The following is a 20,558-nucleotide window of genomic DNA, read 5'->3' as shown; positions in this document are numbered from 1 at the left end:
ACCAAACATGACAGAGCAGCATGGCACAACACTTCAAGCTATTCAGGATGGTGTGGATTTGAAACTTATGAACTATTTCTAGAAATTTCCATTTAGCTTTTTTTTTTTTTTTTTTGGAGTCATGCTCTGTGGCCTAGGCTGGAGTGCAGTGGCATGATATTGGCTCTCTGCAACCTCCGCATCCAAGGTTCAAGTGATTCTCCTGCCTCAGCCTCCTGAGTAGCTGGGATTACAGGCGCGCACCACTGCACCCAGCTAATTTTTGTATTTTTAGTAGAGATGGGGTTTCACCACGTTGGTCAGGCTGGTCTCGAACTCCTGACCTCAGGTGATCCACCTGCCTCGGCCTCCCAAAGTGCTGGGATTACAGGTGTGAGCCACCGTGCCCGGCCTTTTTTTTTTTTTTTTTTTCCGAGACGGAGTTTCACTCTTGTCACTCAGGCTGGAGTGCAATGGCGCGATCTCCGGTCACTGCAACCTCCGCCTCCTGGGTTCAAGAGATTCTCCAGCCTCAGCCTTCCAAATAGCTGGGATTACAGGCTCCTGCCACCACACTTGGCTAATTTTTTTTTGTATTTTTAGTAGAAACAGGGTTTCACCATGTTGGCCAGGCTGGTCTCAAACTCCTGATCTCAGGTGATTCACTGGCCTCAGTCTCCTAAAGTGTTGGAATTACAGGTGTGAGCCACTGTGCCCAGCCACATCTCCCTTTCCCATTTCCTAGCATCTATGAGGCGGGGAGGATGAGAGGGGGGTGTTGCCGAAGGCAGCAGCAACTCCTGGCATCTAGCAGTTTTCTCATTTGCTTTCCATTTCCTCCTTGTAACTGGGACAGAAAGAGCCCGAAGGTCCCAGCTCAGCTGGGCCTAGCATAAGCACATAGTGAGGAGTGGAGAAGTGGAGAGGAAATTGCTTTTTTTTGAGACAGCCTCTCGCTCTGTCACCTAGGCTGGAGTGCAATGGTGCAATCTTTGTTCACTGCAACCTCTGCCTCCCGGGTTCAAGCGATTCTCCTGCCTCAGCCTCCCAAGTAGCTGGGATTACAGGCATGCACCATCATGCCCGGCATGCGGTTTCACCATGTTGGCCAGGCTGGTCTTGAACTCCTGACCTCAGGTGATCTGCCTACCTCGGCCTCCCAAAGTGCTGGGATTATAGGTGTGAGCCACCACGCCCGCCCTGAAACTGCTTTCTGAAGCAGCCACAGGCCCCAGGAGTGAGGGAGCCCCGGGACTGGGAAGTGGGGATCACTCACCAAAACACTGAATGCCGTCCAGGGCTACCTGTGTGGCACACTCAGCTGAGTAAAGAATCACACCTGCACAGTCCTACGGGAGGAAGCTGGGGTCAGCAGGGCCCTGCGAGGCACGCAGACAGCAAGTCTCAGCAGCTGGTCCACTGCCCCCGCCTCTCCCCGACTGAGGCTGGCCCTCACCTTAGCAGTGCAATGGCCCTCATCGCAGGCCTTGGCGACATTGTAGACATACTGCCGACACGCCATGAGGCGGGTGTACATGTCAGCCATCTTCCCCTGCATCAACTGGGCACAAAGGGATGTCACAGGTCAACATGCTGGAACACTCTCTCAGTTACCAAAAGCAGGTCAGCAATGGCAACAAGACAGCCAAGGATGAGGAAGCAGGGGCATGGAGAGGAGATGGGATTTACTCAGGATGATGGAGATGGGGGCAGGTGTGGGAGTTAGGGCCACAGAGTGGCTGTTCCACAGCCCGCATGACACCCCGAAGTGGCCATCACTGCCTCCGAAAGGCATGGCTCCCAAGGCACCATTTACTCCAATGCTTATTACCTTCCAGCAGCTTCTTCGGACCAGAAGGTCTAACTACAAATAGCAACCTCTTTCCCTTCTGCCCCCACAACTTGCACGCTTTGCTCTCCAACCTTACAATGTCTAGTTCATCCACCTCACACAGGAATCGAGGTGGCAATGTGGTGAACTTCCTGATGACTTCCAGAGTCAGGCTGCATGCTGAGGAAGACTGCATTCCAAGCAGTCAAGCTCAATTTGCTAGAGGAGACAGTAACCATCCACGGTGCCCACCTCACTTCCTCTCTTTTCAAAGAAAACTTTAGCCCAGTTGAAGAGTACATGTCAGCAAAAGCACTCGGCTCACCTGGAAGTGGCCGATCTTCTGGCCAAAGGCTTCCCTCACGTGCAGGTAGGGAATGGTGTGGTCCAGGACCGCTTGCATGAGCCTGTCAGAAAGGAGAAAGGCCCCGTGGGCACCTCCTCATCCCACCACCGGGTGTGGTGGCAAAATGCTAGCGTGGGAAGGCCAGAATCCCAGGGAGGAGAAAAGCAACTTCAGAAAGTCTTGCCACAGTTACGGCACTGACTGGCCAGAGGTGCAGGGGCGTGACAGCCCAGGTGTCGTTTCACAGCCGAGTAAGCCACCCTGCTCCTCAGGCCTTTTGTCTGTTACTTAATGATATTTCCCCACTGTGGGAAGAAATTCAACATGGGAAGAGGAGGTTCCTTTCATCTCCCAGGAGAGAGCAGGGCCAAGAGGCAGCTCCCTTTGGCCCCGCAAGGGGAAGGCTGCTGCTGCTCATGGTGGGTCACCTGCCGAGGAGGCCGACAGAGCCCAGCTTCCCTCAAGCCTCTCACACTTACCCAAGAGGCCCCCCGGCCAGCACCAGCCGCTCCAGGTCCAGCCCACTCATCAGCACGTAGACACCCTTATTCTCATGGCCCAGGATGTTGGCAGCTGCCAGGATAAGTGCTGGTCAGAGGGAGAGAGCTGTCCACAGCCTCCTCACTTTTATCAAAGGTACTAGATTTGGAAACATGGCTCTCAAGTAAGGCACTAAAATATGTCACTTGACCTTTATTCAACTAAGGTTCCAGGTGAAAGAAAAGGATCAAGTGAACCCCTTCCAGTCAGAAGTGGAGCTGCCAGGACTCCCACCCCATCCACGAGGCCAACCACAAAGGCTAGAGTTGTTAGATCTTTCCCTTCCCTCTCTGGACTCCCTTGGATGGGAAAGAAGAAAAGTTAATTGGTCTAGAAGTCACCCAATCCCTCCCTGACTCTTTCTACACAGGCACCTATAAAGAAACCAGAGAATTACTCTTTCCCCCAGGTGGAGTCAGCTCTGGTCCAATGTCACCTCCCTGCAGAGTAGTCCGTGAAAGCTTCTTTGTCCAGGAGACAGGCCATTCAGAGCTAGTGACAGAAGCTGCTGAGCACCTCTCCACCCAGTAAAGCCAGGAGACTGGATGGCCTTGGGAGGTGTGGGCAGGAAAACAGGTTGACACTACTGACCTGCCTTTAATGCTAGCTGAATTTTTTCCTGTCAACAAAGAAGGAGCTGCACAGCTCCCCCTCCCTGGATGCTCCCTGTAATTAAAGTACACTTTTTTGGGCTGTCAGTGATAGGCGTGGTATATGGCTGAGGCAGACAGCAAACCTAACTGTTGATCAAATCCATGCCCCTGGCCAGGCAAGGTGGCTCAGGCCTATAATCCTGGCACTTTGGGAGGCTGAGACAGGTGGATCACCTGAGGTCAGGAGTTCGAGAGCAGCCTGGCCAACATGGTGAAACCCCATCTGTCTCTACTAAAAATACAAAATTAGCTGGGCGGTGTGTGCCTGTCATCCCAGCTACTCAGAAGGCTGAGACAGGAGAATCACTTGAACCCAGGGGGCGGAGGTTGCAGTAAGCCAAGATCGCGCCATTGCACTCCAGCCCTGGGCAACAAGAGCGACACTCCATCTCAAAAAAACAAACAAAAAATTTAGCTGGGCAGGGTGGCGCATGCCTGTAATCCCAGCTACTCGGGAGGCTGAGGCAGGAGAATCACTGGAACCCAGGAGGTGGAGGCTGCCGTGAGCTGAGATCACGCCACTGCACTCTAGCCTGGGTGACAGAGCCAAGACTCCTTCTCAAAACAAACAAACAAACAAACAAACAAAAAAAACAAAAAAAAACCCCAAACAACAAATCCATGCCCCTGGTCTGGTTAGTACATGATGGCTGTGCTGGCTCTCCCACAGTGCTCCACCATGTCAGATTTCAGTTACACCTCAGGGGAGAAAATACTCATACTCAAGCAGAACTGCCTTCTCTCTACTGAGTCGGGATTCCATCAGTGGATTCAGATGTTTTGTTTTTTTTTCTTAGCATCATTAATGCTAAAAATGAATAACTCATTTTTAAAATATTTTACAAAAACGTGAGTTAATGAGTTACTCACATGCAGTGGATGGGCGAAAGTACAGGAAGACTGAAGGACATCAATGGGAAAGGGTAGGTCTGACCCTTCTCCTCCGGCTACTGAGTACAGACCCTATGCGGAGTGTGTGATGCCAGTTAGGCATGCCGCTGCAGGGCCCTGGCCAGGAAGGAGCGCTGTCCAGCAGCCCCAGCTCACAGCCTAGCCACATGTCACTGAAGCGCTAACAATGCCAAGCCTCTCTAACCCAGAGGCTTTCTCAACTTGAGAACAGCCAGATCAGCCTGGAAGGGGGTCAGGAGAGGGGCTCCCCGATTCCCGGTGCTACTTACCAGGAATCTTGCAGTCTTCAAAGATTAGCTCACAGGTGTTAGAGCCCCTCATCCCCAGCTTGTCCAGCTTCTTAGAGGTGCTAAAGCCAGGCATACCCTTTACAGGAAACAAAAGGTGGTCCTGGTTACAGATTAGCCCCAAGGGGGCCTGGTAAAGGAAAGGCCTCTGGGAAGAAGGCACTCACCTTCCTATTGAGTCCCTGTACCTGCACAGCATGGCAGCATCCTAGTCCCATGCTCCCCCCGGGACCTTCCGGTGCTAACGCCCCAGATTGATCCCAGCCTCCTCTGCCACTAGCTTGTGTTCTCCCCAGTTCTCATGGGGACACTTCTTTCTCAATGATATGCTCAGTTCCCTGAGCCCTCCCGACCCCCCTGGCCTTATTTCCCTCCCCCAGGGGACATTACTTCCAAGACACTGTCACCAGCCCGGTCAATTCCCTTATCCTCTGTTGTTCTCCTGTCTGTACCCAAAGGGATCCCACTAGGGCTGAACTGAGCCCTCTGTACTTTGACCTGGACTACTGGGTTGCAGCATGTTTTGGCAAGTGACCAGCAAAGTGCTGGCACATGCTGCCTTCAGCCTGTAATGAGGGTGGCATCACGCAACCTTGAGATTTCCAATCTCAGCCAGGTCCCTACTGCTCCAACCCTAGACAGCTACTTTCCCCCTCTCTATGGAGGGTACCGCAAACCTTTACAATACTCGCTCATGAAACTCTTGCCAACTCCCCCACTCGTGGCCCCAGCCTTCACAGGGCCCCTGGCTTCCTCCTCATGATCGTTAGGCAAGTGGTTCCTGCACCATCACCTGTAACCCATCCTTCTCTCTTCTGCCCCAGCTCACCATTGTGTTCTGCCCACTCATTCCCACACTTTTCAATTTCTCCCTCTATTTTCTTTTTTCTTCCCTTTTTTTTCCTTCTGACCAAAAAATCTGCTCAGTTCTCTCATTTCTAAAAACAAACCCAAACTCCTAACTTTTCATTGGAACTCCTGCTCTGCTTCCTTCTTGCTTCTGTTGTCAAGGCTGTTGCAGGGGCAGTCTCCACTTGCATCCCACCCACACCTCAGTCTCCCATGGCCACATTCATCAGATCCACCAATGGTACCCTGACCGTCATGTCCTGACCTCCTTTTAGTCCTCCCCTTTCTAGACCTCTTTGTGTGGCCTGGCGCTGAGGACGGCTCCACCGTCTTCAGAAGTGACCCATCTGCCCTGGACTTCCTGGACTTTTGGTCACCCTCCTTGCAGTCTGCTCTCTGCCTCACCCCCACCTCTGGGGGCCTTGCAGAGCACACAACACTGATTCCATTTGAGATCAGTGAACGGGCTATCTCTGGTACCACTGTCAGGAGGCAGAAGCCTCCTGGCCCTGCACCCACCTATACTCACCTTCTCCACAATGAAGGCTGTGATGCCCCGAGAAGCTGGCACAGCAGCCAGATCTGTCTTGGCATAGACAATCAGGACGTCAGCATCAGGGCCATTAGTGATCCAGAACTTGTTGCCATTCAGGATGTAGTGATTTCCTAAGGGCAGGATGTTGGCTATTTGCTCAAGCCATCTTGGCCTGTCTCAGCCAGGCCATAGACCTTCTGCTGAGCAAGAAGCTGTCCACCTTTGAGAAAGTTCTGGAAACCCAGCAGGGGCCACCCACAATTGTTGCTCCATTATCCTGATAATGTCTGTACCTCTGCCCATTTTGGCTCCCAAGTTGAGAGTGGCCTCACCTTTCTTTTCCGCTTTGAGCTTCATAGAGACAACATCAGAGCCTGCATTGGGCTCACTCATGGCCAGGGCTCCGATGTACTCACCACTGATCAGCTGCAAGGAAAACCCCCAACAGGCCTTGTTACAACCTCAGAGTACCCTAGAGCAGCTCACTGGTACTGCCTCTTCCTGTCCACATTAAACCCCTTCAAACTTCGCTCTCAGACCAGGGTGTCGGTAAAGTCCTAGAAGTCTCTTCTAAGCCCAATGGCTACAAGGCTGAAAATGCCTCTCCTTTTTCCATTCCCTTTGCAAAGGAAGCTAGTCCTACTCTTCCATTTCTTAGAGTTCTCTTCAAATGTTGTCTGTCTGTTGTTCAATGCAAGAGTTCTGGTCCTATTTTTATTATTTTTGGCTCAAGTATTTTAAAGCAATCCATGGCCCCTTCCTAACCACATTTGGTTCATGGCAGCATGCTACAGAAAGCAGGTCTGACTGGCCCCCAAGGGGAGAGGGTATCTTTTAGTTGGTGGTTGCACTGTGAGATTAGCGTGTATTACATTTCCATTTCCTCACCTTCGGGAGATACTTCTCTTTCTGGGCCTCATTCCCATTGCGTACAAGCTGGTTGATGCAGAGGTTGGAGTGGGCACCGTAACTGAGCCCCACTGCTCCGGAAGCTCGGGATATCTCCTCCATCACCAGCACATGCTCCAGGTAGCCCAGGCCGGAGCCGCCATACTGAACTGTGAGTGGTGTGGTACAAGGGAGTGGAAAACGCAGCCCAGATTAAATCGGGACATTCATTAAGAATCTTACATTTGACGGCAGAAGGGAAGCACCTTGTAGCACCTACTCCAAATTCTCTCTAGCAACAAGAATAAGCTGATGCCACAGACCTGCTTACAAGCTCAGTGGACTGGTTTTGCCTGCTGGTGCTCCTCAGCTGAGGGGTGATTCAGAAGGCAATCATTGCAACTTCTGCTTTATCCCAGACAGACTTCTTGATGAAGATACGTGAACAACCTGAGCACCCACTACTCAGAAAGTTACAGAAATGCAGAGGCAGATGAATAAATGAAGAAAGAGGGCCTGGAGAAAAACAAAGGCATTGGGGTGGAGGTGGTGTCCAAAGCACCAAGAACAGATACAAAGCCAGAGGATCTGATGTGTCTGCAAAAGGCCTGAGGAAGGTGAGATTTTATAGCATAGGGCTGAACCCAAAGAAGCAGGACTGGAGGCCAGGCATGGGGCTCACGCCTGTAATCCCAGCACTTTGGGAGGCTGAGGTGGGCAGATCACGAGGTCAGGAGATCAAGACCATCCTGGCTAACACGGTGAAACCCCGTCTCTACTAAAAATACAAAAAATTAGCCGGGCATGGTGGCGGGCGCCTGTAGTCCCAGCTACTCGGGAGGCTGAAGCAGGAGAATGGTGTGAACCTGGCAGGTGGAGCTTGCAGAGAGCCGAGATCGCGCCACTGCACTCCAGCCTGGGCGACAGAGTGAGATTCTGTCTCAAAAAAAAAAAAAAAAAAAGAAAGAAGCAGGACTGGTGACAGGACAGGAGAGCCACAGCCTCAGGGAAAATCTTGAGGTGAGCTGTACAGCAGAGGGCAGATGAGATGCTGGCAGAGAATTTCAGAACTCCTCATAAAATATACGGTTTTTCCTTGGCAGCAGATCCAAACTCCAAGTGGCTGAGACACCTGATACCACCCCCAGCCCTGCTGATTGGGTCAAGCCTAGCAAGGTCCTATACACATGTTCACTCTGACCAATAAGTCAGGCTCGTTCTAGGCTCTAAGGAAACCTTGACCTGCCCCTACAACTGCAGGAAGGAAAGCCTGAAGGCAGGTGACATTAGAAACAGCCACCATGACATCATGCAGAAACCAGAACTTGTAACCAGCTTTCTTTTTCAGGTTCCCTTGAAAGAGTTTTCATCTGATTTCTTTTCTTTTTTTTTTTCAAGAGGCGGGCTCTCACTCTCTTATCCAGGCTGGGGTGCAATGGTGTAACCATGGCTCATTGCAGCCTTGAACTCCTGGGCTCAAGCGATCCTCCTGCCTTGGCCTCCCGAGTCACTCGGATTATAGGAGCCCACTACCACACCTGGCCATTTTCATCTGATTTCTAACTGCCTCTTTCTTCCGTAAAATACAATCTGATTCAGAAGCATATTGTCTGCAGGGAGTGGGGTACATAAACCCCCAAAACACAGTAGGAGAGTCTTGCTTAGGAGTACCCAGCAGCCTTTCCCCTAATGCTTTTACATTAAGATGGTTTCAATTAATCTTCAAGTGGTTTCATTTTATGAAAGGTGATATAACTTTCTAGGATGTAAGGAGAAGTATATTGGGTTCCACTCATACTCTCATGCCCAGAGTGAATACAGGCCCAAGCAGGCTGGGCTTTTTTTTTTGAAACGGAGTTTCGCTCCGTTGCCCAGGCTGGAGTGCAGTGGCACAATCTCAGCTCACTGCAACCTCCGCCTCCCAGGTTCAAGCAATTCTCCTGCCTCAGCCTCCCGAGTAGCTGGGATTACAGGGATGTACCACCATGACCAGCTAATTTTGTATTTTTAGTAGAGACAGAGTTTCTCCATGTTGGTCAGGCTGGTCTCGAACTCACGACCGCAGGTGATCCACCTGCCTCGGCCTCCCAAAGTGCTGGGATTACAGGTGTGAGCAACCACGCCTGGCCTAGGCTCATCTCTTTACCGGGCACTGCAAGCCAGTCTGGGCCTCTTTCAGACGTTAATATCATCCAAACCAGAGCCTGCTAGCTCCCTGCCTTCTCCCTCCGGACAGCCTATTAAACACATCATCTGGCCACCTCACCTGGAAGCCCAGATAGACATCTCTCTCCCCTGCCCAGCCCCTACCCTACTCCCCCCGCTATCTGCTCCCAAATGAGCTCCAAGGTTTAAGCAGAAGAGGACACAGGCAGTCCCTGCAGGGACACACCTGCCCAGAGTGTTCCTGCCGAGAGGCCACTGGTAGGACAAAGCTTATAGGGATTAGGGGAGGCAGTAAGACTGAGGTACTATGAAGACAACCACTTGATCCAGAGTTTTCTAAACTTCCCAAATCACCTGGGTGAGCCTATTAAGTATGCAGAGTTCAAGAGTTGGACTGATCCTGATCCAAGTGAGCCACAATGACCTAATTAATCCCTCTGCCTTCTCTACATCACTGTCTAATAAAATAGAAGAGTGTCCTGTTCTCTGGGCTGACAATCAATGGGTGCTTTCACAGGTCCAAAAGATGCAGTTCTGGGTTTCTTTAAGCACAATCTTTCCCTTCCCTTCCTGCTTCTTTTGGGAACTGTCTTAAAGGGCACATAAGAAAAGTTCTTTTTAGGGAAAGACACTATACTCACCAGGGGCTGTGATGCCCAATACGCCCAGGTTCCCCAGCTGCTTCCAAAATTCCTGCCAACAGAATGGAGCAGAGTGGAATAAGTGTTGAGGGGAAGGCAGCCAGTCACATGTGGCTGGAACAATGAGACCCAAACACTTCAGAGAGAGGGGCTGCATTCTTAGAGAGGCTTCATTTACCAGAAAACTGTGTGAGCTCTTCCAGGCAGCAGTGCAGCTCAGCCCCACTCCCTGACTGCCCCCGACTGCCCGGACCTCCCAACTCACTCGCAGGTTCTTGAACTCATTGCTGCGATCGATCTCCTGGGCCTTGGGGGCCAGGTGCTCCTGAAGGAACTTAGCCATGGTCTGACGAAGCTAATAGGAGAGAGGTAAACAGATGCCACTGCAGACAGCATCTCCACTACCCAGACACATTCAAGAGAAAAGGCCACAAGTAACTTCCCCAAACAGCATCAGACTGAAACTGAGAGGCCTCAGTAGTTTATGCCTCCTCAGAGATGATCTTCACCCCTCTTTCTTAAGGTCTTCAGCCTAGACAGCTTGATGGTAATTTTTAAAACGTCACACTTTACATAAAAATCATTCCATTGGTTTCCACTGTACTTAGAATAAAACACAAGCTTCTCACCCAGGCCTACTAGGCCCTGCAGGAGCTGACCCCAGCTGACTCTCCTAGCTTCCCCAGCACCTTCCCACCTCCCACCCTCTGTGCTCCAGCTGCATTCCAGGCAGCTGCCAGATCTCAATAGTTGTCAGGCTCTTTTAAGCCCCCGAACCTTTGGCTAAAAGGGTCTGATTACCCAAAGAGATTAGAAACGCCTCTTGGCGGCTGGGCATGGTGGCTCATGCCTGTAATCCCAGCACTTTGGGAGGCCGAGGCAGGAGGATCACCTGAGGTTGGGAGTTTGAGACCAGCCTGACCAACATGGAGAAACTCCGTCTCTACTAAAAACACAAAATTAGCCGGGCGTGGTGGTGCATGCCTGTAATCCCAGCTACCTGGGAGGCTGAGGCAGGAGAATCACTTGAACCCGGGAGGCGGACGTTGTGGTGAGCGGAGATCGCGCCATTACACTCCAGCCTGGGCAACAAGAGTGAAACTCCGTCTCAAAAAAAAAAAAAAAAGAAAAAAGAAAAGAAACTCCTCTTGCCAGGAAAGCTTGAGAATAGGGATTGAACCCTTTCCACTTGAGGTGGTTCACGGAAGCTCTGAGCGCTCGCTGGCTATAAACATAAACTACGGAGTTGCTGGGAGGCTCATACCTCCGCCAACTCCATCCAGCCTCCAAGTGAAACCTCAGGAAGGACTCTGGTTCTGCTCCATTTGTAAATACTACTTCGTCTTCTTTTCTATTTTTTATGAGATGGGGGTCTGGCTATGTTGCTTAGGCTGATCTCAAACCCCTGAGCTCAAACAATCCTCCCACCTCGGCCTCCCAAAGTGCTAGGATTACAGGTGTGAGCCACGGCGCCTGGCCTCCAACTACTTCTTTCAAGTACTTGTTCAACTTTTGTGTTTTGACCCAATGGGCTGAAGAGCGACAGGAGAGCTCACTGTGGCTTTTTAAAACCCCCAAACTGTTTATACAAAAAAGACTCCCTGGTGATTACGATGACCACCCAGGTGTGAGAAGCATACCTCAGCCTGTTCAGGTGTAAGTGAACTACATACAGATTGAGGGCCCTTGTGCCACAAGCGGTAGGTAGCCTGGCCAATCCTCCACCAAAACACCATCAGTCTCTCAGGAGCTCTCCCAGCCTCGACTCCTCCTCTCTACTTCCAGCAGTACTGTCCCACGGTCTCAAATCTTCACTCCACAGACGTGAGGCCGAGGTCAGAGGACTGGACCCGAGGTCGGAGGCCCCGCGTCCCGCCCCCGCGCTGGCGCTCCCAACGGCCCACGGGCAAAAGCCAAGGCTGGGTGGGCGCTGGGCCGATGGGGACCAGGCAGGAAGGAGGCCTTGGGGACCAGGCAGGAAGGAGGCCTTGGGGCCAGGAAGGGGGTCAGTCTCCTCACCTGCCTCTGCTCCTCGCTTAGCCCATTGATTGCATCGTCCACGGGCAAAAGCGAGTGGGCCCGCTGGGAAACGAAGCCGGCAAGCGGCGGCCGCAGCCTCCAGCTCGCCACACGCCACCCCAGCAGCCGAGTCGCAGTCGCCATCTCTGCCATGCACGAAGAGCCAGCGCTGAAACTGAGCCAGCTCTTAGCTCCACCAATCCAGGCTTCGCCGCCCACCAAACCGGCTAGGGGGTGGGCTGCAGCAGCCAATCACCCTAGGCGGCCCGCCGAAGGCGTTGCTGCCCTTGGACCGCACCCGAGCCAATCAACCGTGATCGCCTGCCAGCTTCCAGCCAGTGCAACGGCCGCAGGCCGAGTGGCCCTGCCCCGAACGCTGCAAATGCTGGCGTGCTCCCTAGGATGAGTGTTTTTAGCGGGGTAGAAGAGCAAGTGTTTTTTTCTTTTTATCTCCCTGCGTTGAAATAGCAGCCCCTAACTGCGGAAATCTCTCTGTGGGAAAGCAGAGTGTGGAAACAGCAATCAGAAAACTGCCCACGTACCCAGTAAATTGGTCAAGCATCTCTGGAATAATTAAGATCGGAAAAGTAGTGCTTGCTCTAACGTGCACACTGATCATAACAGAGTACATCTTGCTTTATTATATAACAAGGTTTGTAGATTTAGATTCATGTTTTATGGGAAAGGGGTTATTAAGGAGTAGCTGCCTTCTAGATTGGAGATGCGCCTCGATTTACAGTGGGGTTACTTCTCGATAAACCCATCATAAATGGAAAATATTGTAAGTCAAAAATGCACTTTGAAAATACACTTAGGCCGGGCATGATGGCTCACACCTGTAATCCCAGCACTTTGGGAGGCCGAGGCGGGTGAGTCACCTGAGGCGGAGAGTTTTAGACCAGCCTGGCCAACATGGAGAAATCCTGTCTCTACTACAAATACAAAAATTAGCTGGGCGTGGTGGTGCATGCCTGTAATCCCAGCTACTCAGGAGGTTGAGGCAGGAGAATCGCTTGAACCCGGGAGGTGGAGGTTGCGGTGAGCTGAGATCACGCCATTGCACTCCAGCCTGGGCAACAAGAGTGACACTCCGTCTCAAAACAGAAAACAAAAAAACACCTAACCTACCAAACATCATAGCTTAGACTAGTGGACCTTAAACGTACTTGGAACACTTATAATAGCTTATAACGGCACAATCATGTAACACAAAGCATATTTTATAAGACAGTGTTAGATATCATTTATTGAATATTGTACAGTTTCTATTCAATGTCTATCACTTTCACACCATCATAAAGTTGAAAAATCTTAAGTTGAACTATTGTAAGTTGGGGACCATTTGTATTTAATATGTGTTAAATATTAAATAGTACATATTTACGTATTATACTATATATTAAATAAGATGTATTAAATAGGCTGGGCATGGTTGCTCATGCCTGTAATCCTAGGACTTTGGGAGCTTAGGTGGGAAGATCGCTCGAGGCCAGGAGTCCAAGACCATCCTGTGCAACATAGGGAGACCCTGTCTCCACAAAAAATTTGAGAAAACAAACAACAACAAAAGATGTATTAAATAGTAAATAGTATGTATTTAATACACCAGAATAATAGCAGTCAGGACTTAGAAACACGGGTTCGGGACACAGGGAAAGGAAGAGTGGTGAGGGGAAAGAGGGGAGCTGATGGAATTAAGTCTCTATCCCCTCTCCACTTGCTCTATTTTCCTCCTCCATGTTGTGTCAATGTTATTTTTAAAATTTAATTAATTAATTAGAGATGGGGCCGGGGTGGGGGTGGGCAGTCTCACTATGTTGCCCAAGCTGATCTTGAACTCCTGGGCTCATGTGATCCTCCTGTCTTGGCCTCCCAAAGTGCTAGGATTACAGGCATGAGCCACGGAACCCAGCCAAGTCAATGCTCTTGAACAACTCATCTCAGGTTGGTACCCTGAGTCCAGGAGTCTATGCAATCCCACTACATAGCTGTGGGACTTTCGGCAAGTTTCTTAGATCTTTTCAGTCACTGTTTCATCATCTTTAAAACGAAAATGATACCAACCAACTTTAAGGCTACTATGAGGAATAAAAGAGATTGCATACTTAATGATTCAGCACAGTACTTGGCACATTGCTCTCATTTTTAGATCATTCATACCACATCCAACTTCCCTGCACCCATTCCTCAGCTTCTAACTCACCCCCTCACCATAATTTGAAGTACTACTGAGAAGTTAACACCCGATCATAGCACTGCTTTTTTGTTGTTGTTGTTGTTTAAGACGGAGTCTCACTCTGTCGCCCAGGCTGGAGTGCAGTGGCGCCATCTCGGCTCACTGCCAGCTCCGCCTCCCGGGTTCACACCATTCTCCTGCATCAGTCTCCCGAGTAGTTGGGACTACAGGCGCCTGCCACCACGCCTGGCTAATTTTTTGTACTTTTAGTAGAGACGGGGTTTCACCGTGTTAGCCAGGATGATCTTGATCTCCTGACCTCGTGATCCGCCCACTTTGGCCTCCCAAAGTGCTGGGATTACAGGCGTGAGCCACCGCGCCCGGCCGCTTTTTTTTTTTTTTAAATCAGGTTGAAATTAAATTTTTTTTTTTTTTTTTTTGAGACAGGATCTCTGTCACCTAGGCTGGAGCACAGTGGCACAATCATGGCTTACTGCCATGACTGGACTCAAGCAATCCTCTGGCCTCAGCCTGCCAAGTAGATGGGACTACAGGCACATGCCACCGGCCTAATATATACATCTATACACATATACATACATATATATATATATGTATGTATATTGTAGAGATGAGGGTCTCACTATGTTACCCAGGCTGGTCTCAAATTCCTGGCCTCAAGCAATCCTCCTGCCTTGGCCTCCCAAACTGCTTGGATTACAGGCATGAGCCACTGTACCAGCCCACCTTTATTAGTTTCTTAAATATTCCACAGTTTTATGTAAATACAAGCAATTATGAATATATATTCTTCTTACACTTAACAATGTATCTTGGAGATCTTGGCATATCACTATGTTAAGAGCGTCCTCTTTTTTCTTTTTTTAAAGACTATTCCATTGTATAGATACAACTTAGTTTTTCTTCTTATGAATGAGGTGGAGGATTTTTTCATACCGAAAGCCCTTATTTTTCTGTGGACTGTCAGATCATGTCCTTTGCCTATTTATGTGTTGCACTGTTGGCACTTTTCTTAACTCAAACCTACAATAAATGTGTAGGTTCACTGGAAAAGAATCAGGTCTGAGAGGAAAGACTTTGAGCTTGTTTTGGGCACAATTATGTTTGAAGCGCTTTTGAGTCATCTTAAGAGGTAATGTGGGCCAGGCATGGTGGCTCACGCCTGTAATTCCAACATTCTGGGAGGCTGAGGCAGTAGGATCACTTGAGGTGAGGAGTTCGAGACCAGCCTGAGCAACACAATAAGACCAGTCTCTACAAAAAATTTTAAAAATTAGCCAGCGGTGGTGGGTTGTGCTTGTAGTCTCAGCTTCTTGAGAGACTGAGACAGGAGGATGGTTTGAACCCAGGAGTTTGAGGTCACAGTGTGTAATGATCAGGCCACTGTACTCCAGTCTAGGCAACGGAACAAAACCCTGTCTCTAAAAAAATTAAAAACAAAAAATAAAAAGATTAACAAAATTAAGCTGGGTGCTGTGGTACATACCTGTAATCCCAGCTACTCAGGTGGCCGATGCAGGAGGATTGCTTGAGCCCAGGGGTTGGAGTCTAGTCTGGGCAACATAGAAAGACCCTATCTCCTAAAATAAAAAGAAGATTTTAAAAATTGATAAACCGCTAGCAAGACTTATCAAGAAAAAAAGAGAAATTGCAAATGTCTGATATCAAGAATTAAAAAGGGGACAGCTCTCAAATCCTACAGATATGAAAAAGATAAGGATATTTTGAGCAATTTATGCTAATACATTTGATAATGTAGATGAAATAGACAAATCAAACTGACACAAACTGACATAACAGAAAATCTGAATAGTCCTATATCTACTAAATAAATTGAAATCCACAATGAAAAACTTTCCATGAAGAAAACTCCAAGCGTAAATGACTTCACTAATGAATTCTTCCAAATACTTAAGTAAGAAATATGGGTATAGGCCGGGCGCGGTGGCTCACGCCTGTAATCCCAGCACTTTGGGAGGCCGAGGCGGGCGGATTACGAGGTCAGGAGTTCAAGACCAGCCTGGCCAACATAGTGAAACCCCATCTCTACTAAAAATACAAAAAATTAGCCGGGCATGGTGGCGGGAGACTATAGTCCCAGCTACACGGGAGGCTGAGGCAGTAGAATCGCTTGAACCCGGGAGGCAGAGGTTGCAGTGAGTGGAGATCACGCCACATCACTCCAGCCTGGGCGACAGAGCAAGACTCCGTCTCAAACCAAAAAAAAAAAAAAAGAAAAAGAAAAAAAAATATGGGTATAAACCTAAGAGAGAATAAACAAGAAATAATACCCGGTGGCTCAGCCTGTAATCCCATCACTTTGGGAGGCCGAGGTGGGCGGATCACAAGGTCAGGAGATCAAGACCATCCTGTGAATGGTGAAACCCCGTCTCTACTAAAAATACAAAAAAAAAAAAAAAAAAAAAAAGTAGCCGGGCGTGGTGGCGGGCGCCTGTGGTCCCAGCTACTGGGAGGCTGAGGCGGGAGAATGCCGTGAACCCGGGAGGCAGAGCTTGCAGTGAGCCGAGATTGCGCCACTGCACTCCAGCCTGGGCAACAGAGCGAGACTCCGTCTCGGAAAAAAAAAAAAAAAAAAAAAAAGGAAATAATACCAAACTTATTATTTCAACTCATTTTATGAGGCCAATATAATCCTGATACCAAAAATCTTACAAGAAACATTACAAAAGAAGGCCGGGCACGGTGGCTCATGCCTGTAATCCCAGCACTTTGGGAGGCCAAGCTGGGCGGATCACGAGGTCAGGAGATCGAGACCATCCTGGCTAACACGACGAAACCCCGTCTCTACTAAAAATACAAAAAATTAGTCGGGCGTGGTGGCGGGCACCTGTAGTCCCAGCTACTTGGGAAGCTGAGGCAGGAGAATGGCGTGAACCCGGGAGGCGGAGCTTGCAGTGAGCCGAGATTGCACCACTGCACTCCAGCCTGGGCGACAGAGCAAGACTCCGATTTCATATGATACAAAAGATTAGAGGTAGATAATAAACCTTAATATGAAAGGTGAACAATAAAGCTTTGAGCAACAAAGTAAGGTAAAAATCGAACAAATGAAAGTATAAAGTAAAAACATAAAATACTGCATGTTCTCTCCTATAAATGGGAGTTGAGTACATTGAGTACACACAGACACAAAGAAGGCAACAGCAGACACTGGGGCCTACTTGAGGGTGGAGGGTGGGTGGAGGGTGAGGATCAGAAAACTACCTATCGGGTTCCATGCTCGTCACCTGGGTGACAGGCAGTTTACCTATGTAACGAACCTGCACATGCACCCCTGAACATAAAAGTTGAAAAAACAAAGTAAAAACTTGTTCATACAGGCCAGGTGTGGTATATAATTACATCCATAATTCCAGCACTTTGGAAGGCCAAGGTGGGCAGATCACCTAAGGTCAGGAGTTTGAGACCAGCCTGGTCAACTTGATGAGACCTCATTTTTGCAAACATACAAAAATTAGCCAGGCAAGGTAGTGTGCACCTGTAGTCCCAGCTACTCAGGAGGCTGAGGCAGGAGAATCGTTTGAAACTGGGAGGCGAAGTGGCAGTGAACCAAGATCGCAACACTGTACTCCAGCCTGGGCCACAGAGCAAGACTGTCTTAAAAAAAAAAAAAAAAAAAAAAAAAAAGAACAGAAAAAAACAAACATGTTTATATTGTTATAAATAAATGGGAGGGAGAAGGCAGAAATCCTCCTTACAGAAGAATTCCAAACAATATAGACAGGTAGATAGTTCTTACTCCCCTTGAGAGTGGCTGGAATTAGTGATGACTTCTAAAGAGAGTATGGAAGGAGTATAACAGTAACTTTACAGTGGAGAAACCCGGCTAACACTGCCTTAACCAAGTGATCAAAGTTAATATCACTAGCAACAAGTCAAGTTGATGTTATATACCTGTAATATCGTGTGCAAAGCTGGTTCCTTCTGGTGGGTTCTTGGTGTCGCTGACTTTAAAAATGAAGCTGTGGACCTTCGTGGTATTACAGCTCTTAAAGGTGGCATGGAACCAAAGAGTGAGCAGCAGCAAGATTTATTCTGAAGAGCAAAGGAACAGCTTCCACAACCTGGATGGGGAGCCGAGCTGCTAGACACCGCTGGCTGGGGTTGGGGGGTGGTGGCGGGGCTGGGGGGCAGCTTTTATTCCCTTATTTGTCCCCGCCCAGATCCTGCTGATTGGTCCATTTTACAGAGCACTGATTGGCCCATTTTACAAGGTGCTGATTGGCGCATTTTACAAACCTCTAGCTAGCTACAGAGCACTGATTGGTGCATTTTAAAATCCTCTTGTAAGACAGAAAAGTTCTCCAAGTCCCCACCCGACCCAGAAGTCCAGCTGGCTTCACCTCTCAATATGATGCGTTGAGTACACTTTACATATGTGGTATTCTTCCCTAAAACACATAACCACAGTCTAATCATCAAAAAAAAAAAAAAAAAAAAGAAAGAAAAATCAGACAAATCCAAATTGAGGGATATTCTACAAAATATCTGACCGCTACTCCTTGAAACTGTCAAGGTCATGAAAAACAGAAACAGATTGAGAAACTGTCATTGACCAGGGGAGACTAAGGAGACATAATAACTAATGACAAAATACAATATGGCATCCTGAACGAGATCCTAAAACAGAAAAACTACATTAGTAGACAGACCAATGAAATCCAAATAAAGCCCAGGGTTTAGTTAATAATGATCTACTGATGCTGGTTTCTTAGTTTTGACAAATGTGCCATGGTATTGTGAGATGTTAACATTAGGGGAAGCTGGGGAAGGGGTATATGGGAATTCTCTGGACTATCTTTGCAACTTTTCCATAAATCTAAAATTATCCCCAAATATATAAATTATTACTATCTTTTGAGACACGGTGTCACTCTGTAGCCTAGGCTGGAGTGCAGTTGAGATAGATCAGGTAGGTTGGTCACAGCCTCACTTAAAGGGGAAGAAGATACTTGCCAAACAGACAGATGGAGAGCACAGCTCAACGCTGCACAAACCGCATCAGGAACTCGTGGTCAGAACATCCTGCTGCAAGGAGGAAAAAGAGTAAAAGGGGAAAAAACCTCGAGCTTGCACAGGGACAGAAACCCTTGGTCAGTGTCTTTAGGTTGACCTATACTCATTTAACAGTAAAAACACACCCCAGGATGGAGAATTACAATGCTAATGAGACATGCAATGTATATACTGGCATGTATAGCAATAGTGTGTGCTCATCCAGAAGACCTTCCACAACATGCTTAACAGCAACACTCATTCCCACCCTTTAATGAATAATTATATAAGCTTCTCATAAAGGTAATTTCCCCAGTGTAGGATGGGGCTGTCTCATTCTCAAGTAGCCCTCTCTGGCCCAGCTATCAAGAGTGTACTTTCACTTTGCAATAAACTACTTTGCCTACTTTTACTTTGGATTTGCTCTCAAATTCTTTTGCTCACCAAAGTCAAGAACCTGAACCGGCCCACCAACAACACAGTGGAGCTTTCACAGCTCACTGCAGCCTCGTTCTCCCTGGTTCAAGCAATCCCCTCACCTAAGCCTCCAGAGTAGCTGGGACTACAGGTGTGCACCATCGCGTCTGGCTATTTAAAAAAATTTTTGGTAGAGAAGAGGTCTTGCTATGCTGCCCAGGCTGGTCTTGAACTCCTGAACTCAAGTACTCCTCCCGCCCCAGTCTTCCAAAGTGCTGGGATTACAAGCATGAGCCACTGTGTCTGGCCAAAATATATATTTCAAAAAAGACTGACTAAACCTCCAGCTCTCATACATTGTTGTGGTGGTATAAACAGGTACATTTATTTTGGAAAACTGAGTTGCTTACCCTCCGACTCAGCAGTTCTATTCTTGGGTATCTATCCAAGAGAAACCAGTGCACTTTTATTAATAGCCTAAACATAGAAACAAATGTCCACTAGCCAGAGAATACTGATACATTCAACGATACAAATTATAGAGACATGTTGAGCTAAAGAAACCAAACACAAGAGTACATTCTCGGCTGGGTGCAGTGGCTCAAACCTGTAATCCTGGCACTCTGGGAGGCCAGGAGTTCAAGATCAGCCTGGGCAACATAGTGAGAGCCCCCAGCTCTACCAAAAATTTAAAAATTAGCGAGGGGTGGTAGCATTCATCTGTAGTACTAGCTATTCAGTTGGCTGAGCCCAGAAATTCGAGGTTACAGTGAGCTATTATTGTGTATTATTGTGCCTCTGAACTCCGGCCTGGGCAACAGAGCAAGATGCTGTCTTTTTTTTTTTTTTTTTTTTTTTTTTGAGTCAGGAGTATCACCATGTTGCCCAGGCTGGTCAAGAACTTCTGGCCTAAAGCTATACTCTGGCCTTGGTCCGTCTCTTAAAAAAAAAAAAAGGGGAGCTGGGCTTGGTGGCTCAAGCCTGTAATCCCAGCACCTTGGGAGGCCGAGGCAGGCGGATCGTATGAGCTGAGGTGTTGGAGAACAGCTTGGGCAACATGGCAAGACCTCATCTCTACAAAAAATACAAAAATTAGCTGGGTGTGGTTGTGTGTGCCTGTAGTCCCAGTTACTTGGGGGGCTGAGGCAGGAGGATCACTTGAGCCCAGGAGGTCCAGGCTGCAGTGAGCCAAGATGGCACCACTGCACTCCAGCCTGGATGACAGAAACCCTCTCTCTCTCTCAAAAAAAGTATATACTATGAGTCCATTTATATGAAATTC

General features: G+C 48.5%; 1 protein-coding gene across 22 annotated transcripts in view, besides 3 other annotated features; it reads right to left on the bottom strand.

Annotated features, from left to right (window-relative positions):
• IVD (isovaleryl-CoA dehydrogenase) overlaps positions 1 to 11,823 on the bottom strand; it is a 30,153-nt gene extending 18,330 nt beyond the window's left edge. For 6 of the 22 annotated variants that reach the window (XR_007064441.1, NM_001354600.3, XM_017022149.2 and 3 more), the window contains exons 1-11: positions 11,647 to 11,823; positions 9,806 to 9,982; positions 9,628 to 9,679; positions 6,821 to 6,990; positions 6,265 to 6,358; positions 5,927 to 6,063; positions 4,531 to 4,627; positions 2,636 to 2,729; positions 2,136 to 2,217; positions 1,436 to 1,540; positions 1,256 to 1,328 (exon numbers count right to left, since the gene is read on the bottom strand). Coding sequence is in view for 19 of the 22 variants with exons in the window: in XM_017022149.2 (XP_016877638.1) it covers positions 1,256 to 1,328; positions 1,436 to 1,540; positions 2,136 to 2,217; positions 2,636 to 2,729; positions 4,531 to 4,627; positions 5,927 to 6,063; positions 6,265 to 6,358; positions 6,821 to 6,990; positions 9,628 to 9,679; positions 9,806 to 9,982; positions 11,647 to 11,799 (1,234 nt within the window). In the remaining 3 variants the exon portion in view is untranslated. Of the gene's footprint in view, positions 1 to 1,255; positions 1,329 to 1,435; positions 1,541 to 2,135; positions 2,218 to 2,635; positions 2,796 to 4,530; positions 4,628 to 5,926; positions 6,064 to 6,264; positions 6,359 to 6,820; positions 6,991 to 9,627; positions 9,680 to 9,805; positions 9,983 to 11,267 lie in introns of those variants that run through there. The other 16 variants (XR_007064442.1, NM_001354598.3, NM_001354601.3 and 13 more) reach the window with 7 other exon arrangements.
• Positions 10,119 to 10,618: an enhancer, noted in NCBI's record as "H3K4me1 hESC enhancer chr15:40699201-40699700 (GRCh37/hg19 assembly coordinates)". NCBI's record gives its function as "activates a minimal SCP1, AML or CMV promoter by ChIP-STARR-seq in naive H9 embryonic stem cells {active_cell/tissue: H9 hESC(naive)}" and the evidence as "EXISTENCE:reporter gene assay evidence [ECO:0000049][PMID:30033119]".
• Positions 13,908 to 14,007: an enhancer, noted in NCBI's record as "active region_9242". NCBI's record gives its function as "activates an Ori minimal core promoter by ATAC-STARR-seq in GM12878 lymphoblastoid cells {active_cell/tissue: GM12878}" and the evidence as "EXISTENCE:reporter gene assay evidence [ECO:0000049][PMID:35858748]".
• Positions 19,049 to 19,118: an enhancer, noted in NCBI's record as "active region_9241". NCBI's record gives its function as "activates an Ori minimal core promoter by ATAC-STARR-seq in GM12878 lymphoblastoid cells {active_cell/tissue: GM12878}" and the evidence as "EXISTENCE:reporter gene assay evidence [ECO:0000049][PMID:35858748]".

Source organism: Homo sapiens, chromosome 15, assembly GCF_000001405.40.
Source record: "Homo sapiens chromosome 15, GRCh38.p14 Primary Assembly".
NCBI classification, from domain to species: Eukaryota; Metazoa; Chordata; class Mammalia; order Primates; family Hominidae; genus Homo; species Homo sapiens.
The sequence above is the reverse complement of the archived record's forward strand: the minus strand, read 5'-3'. Positions and strand labels throughout refer to the sequence as shown.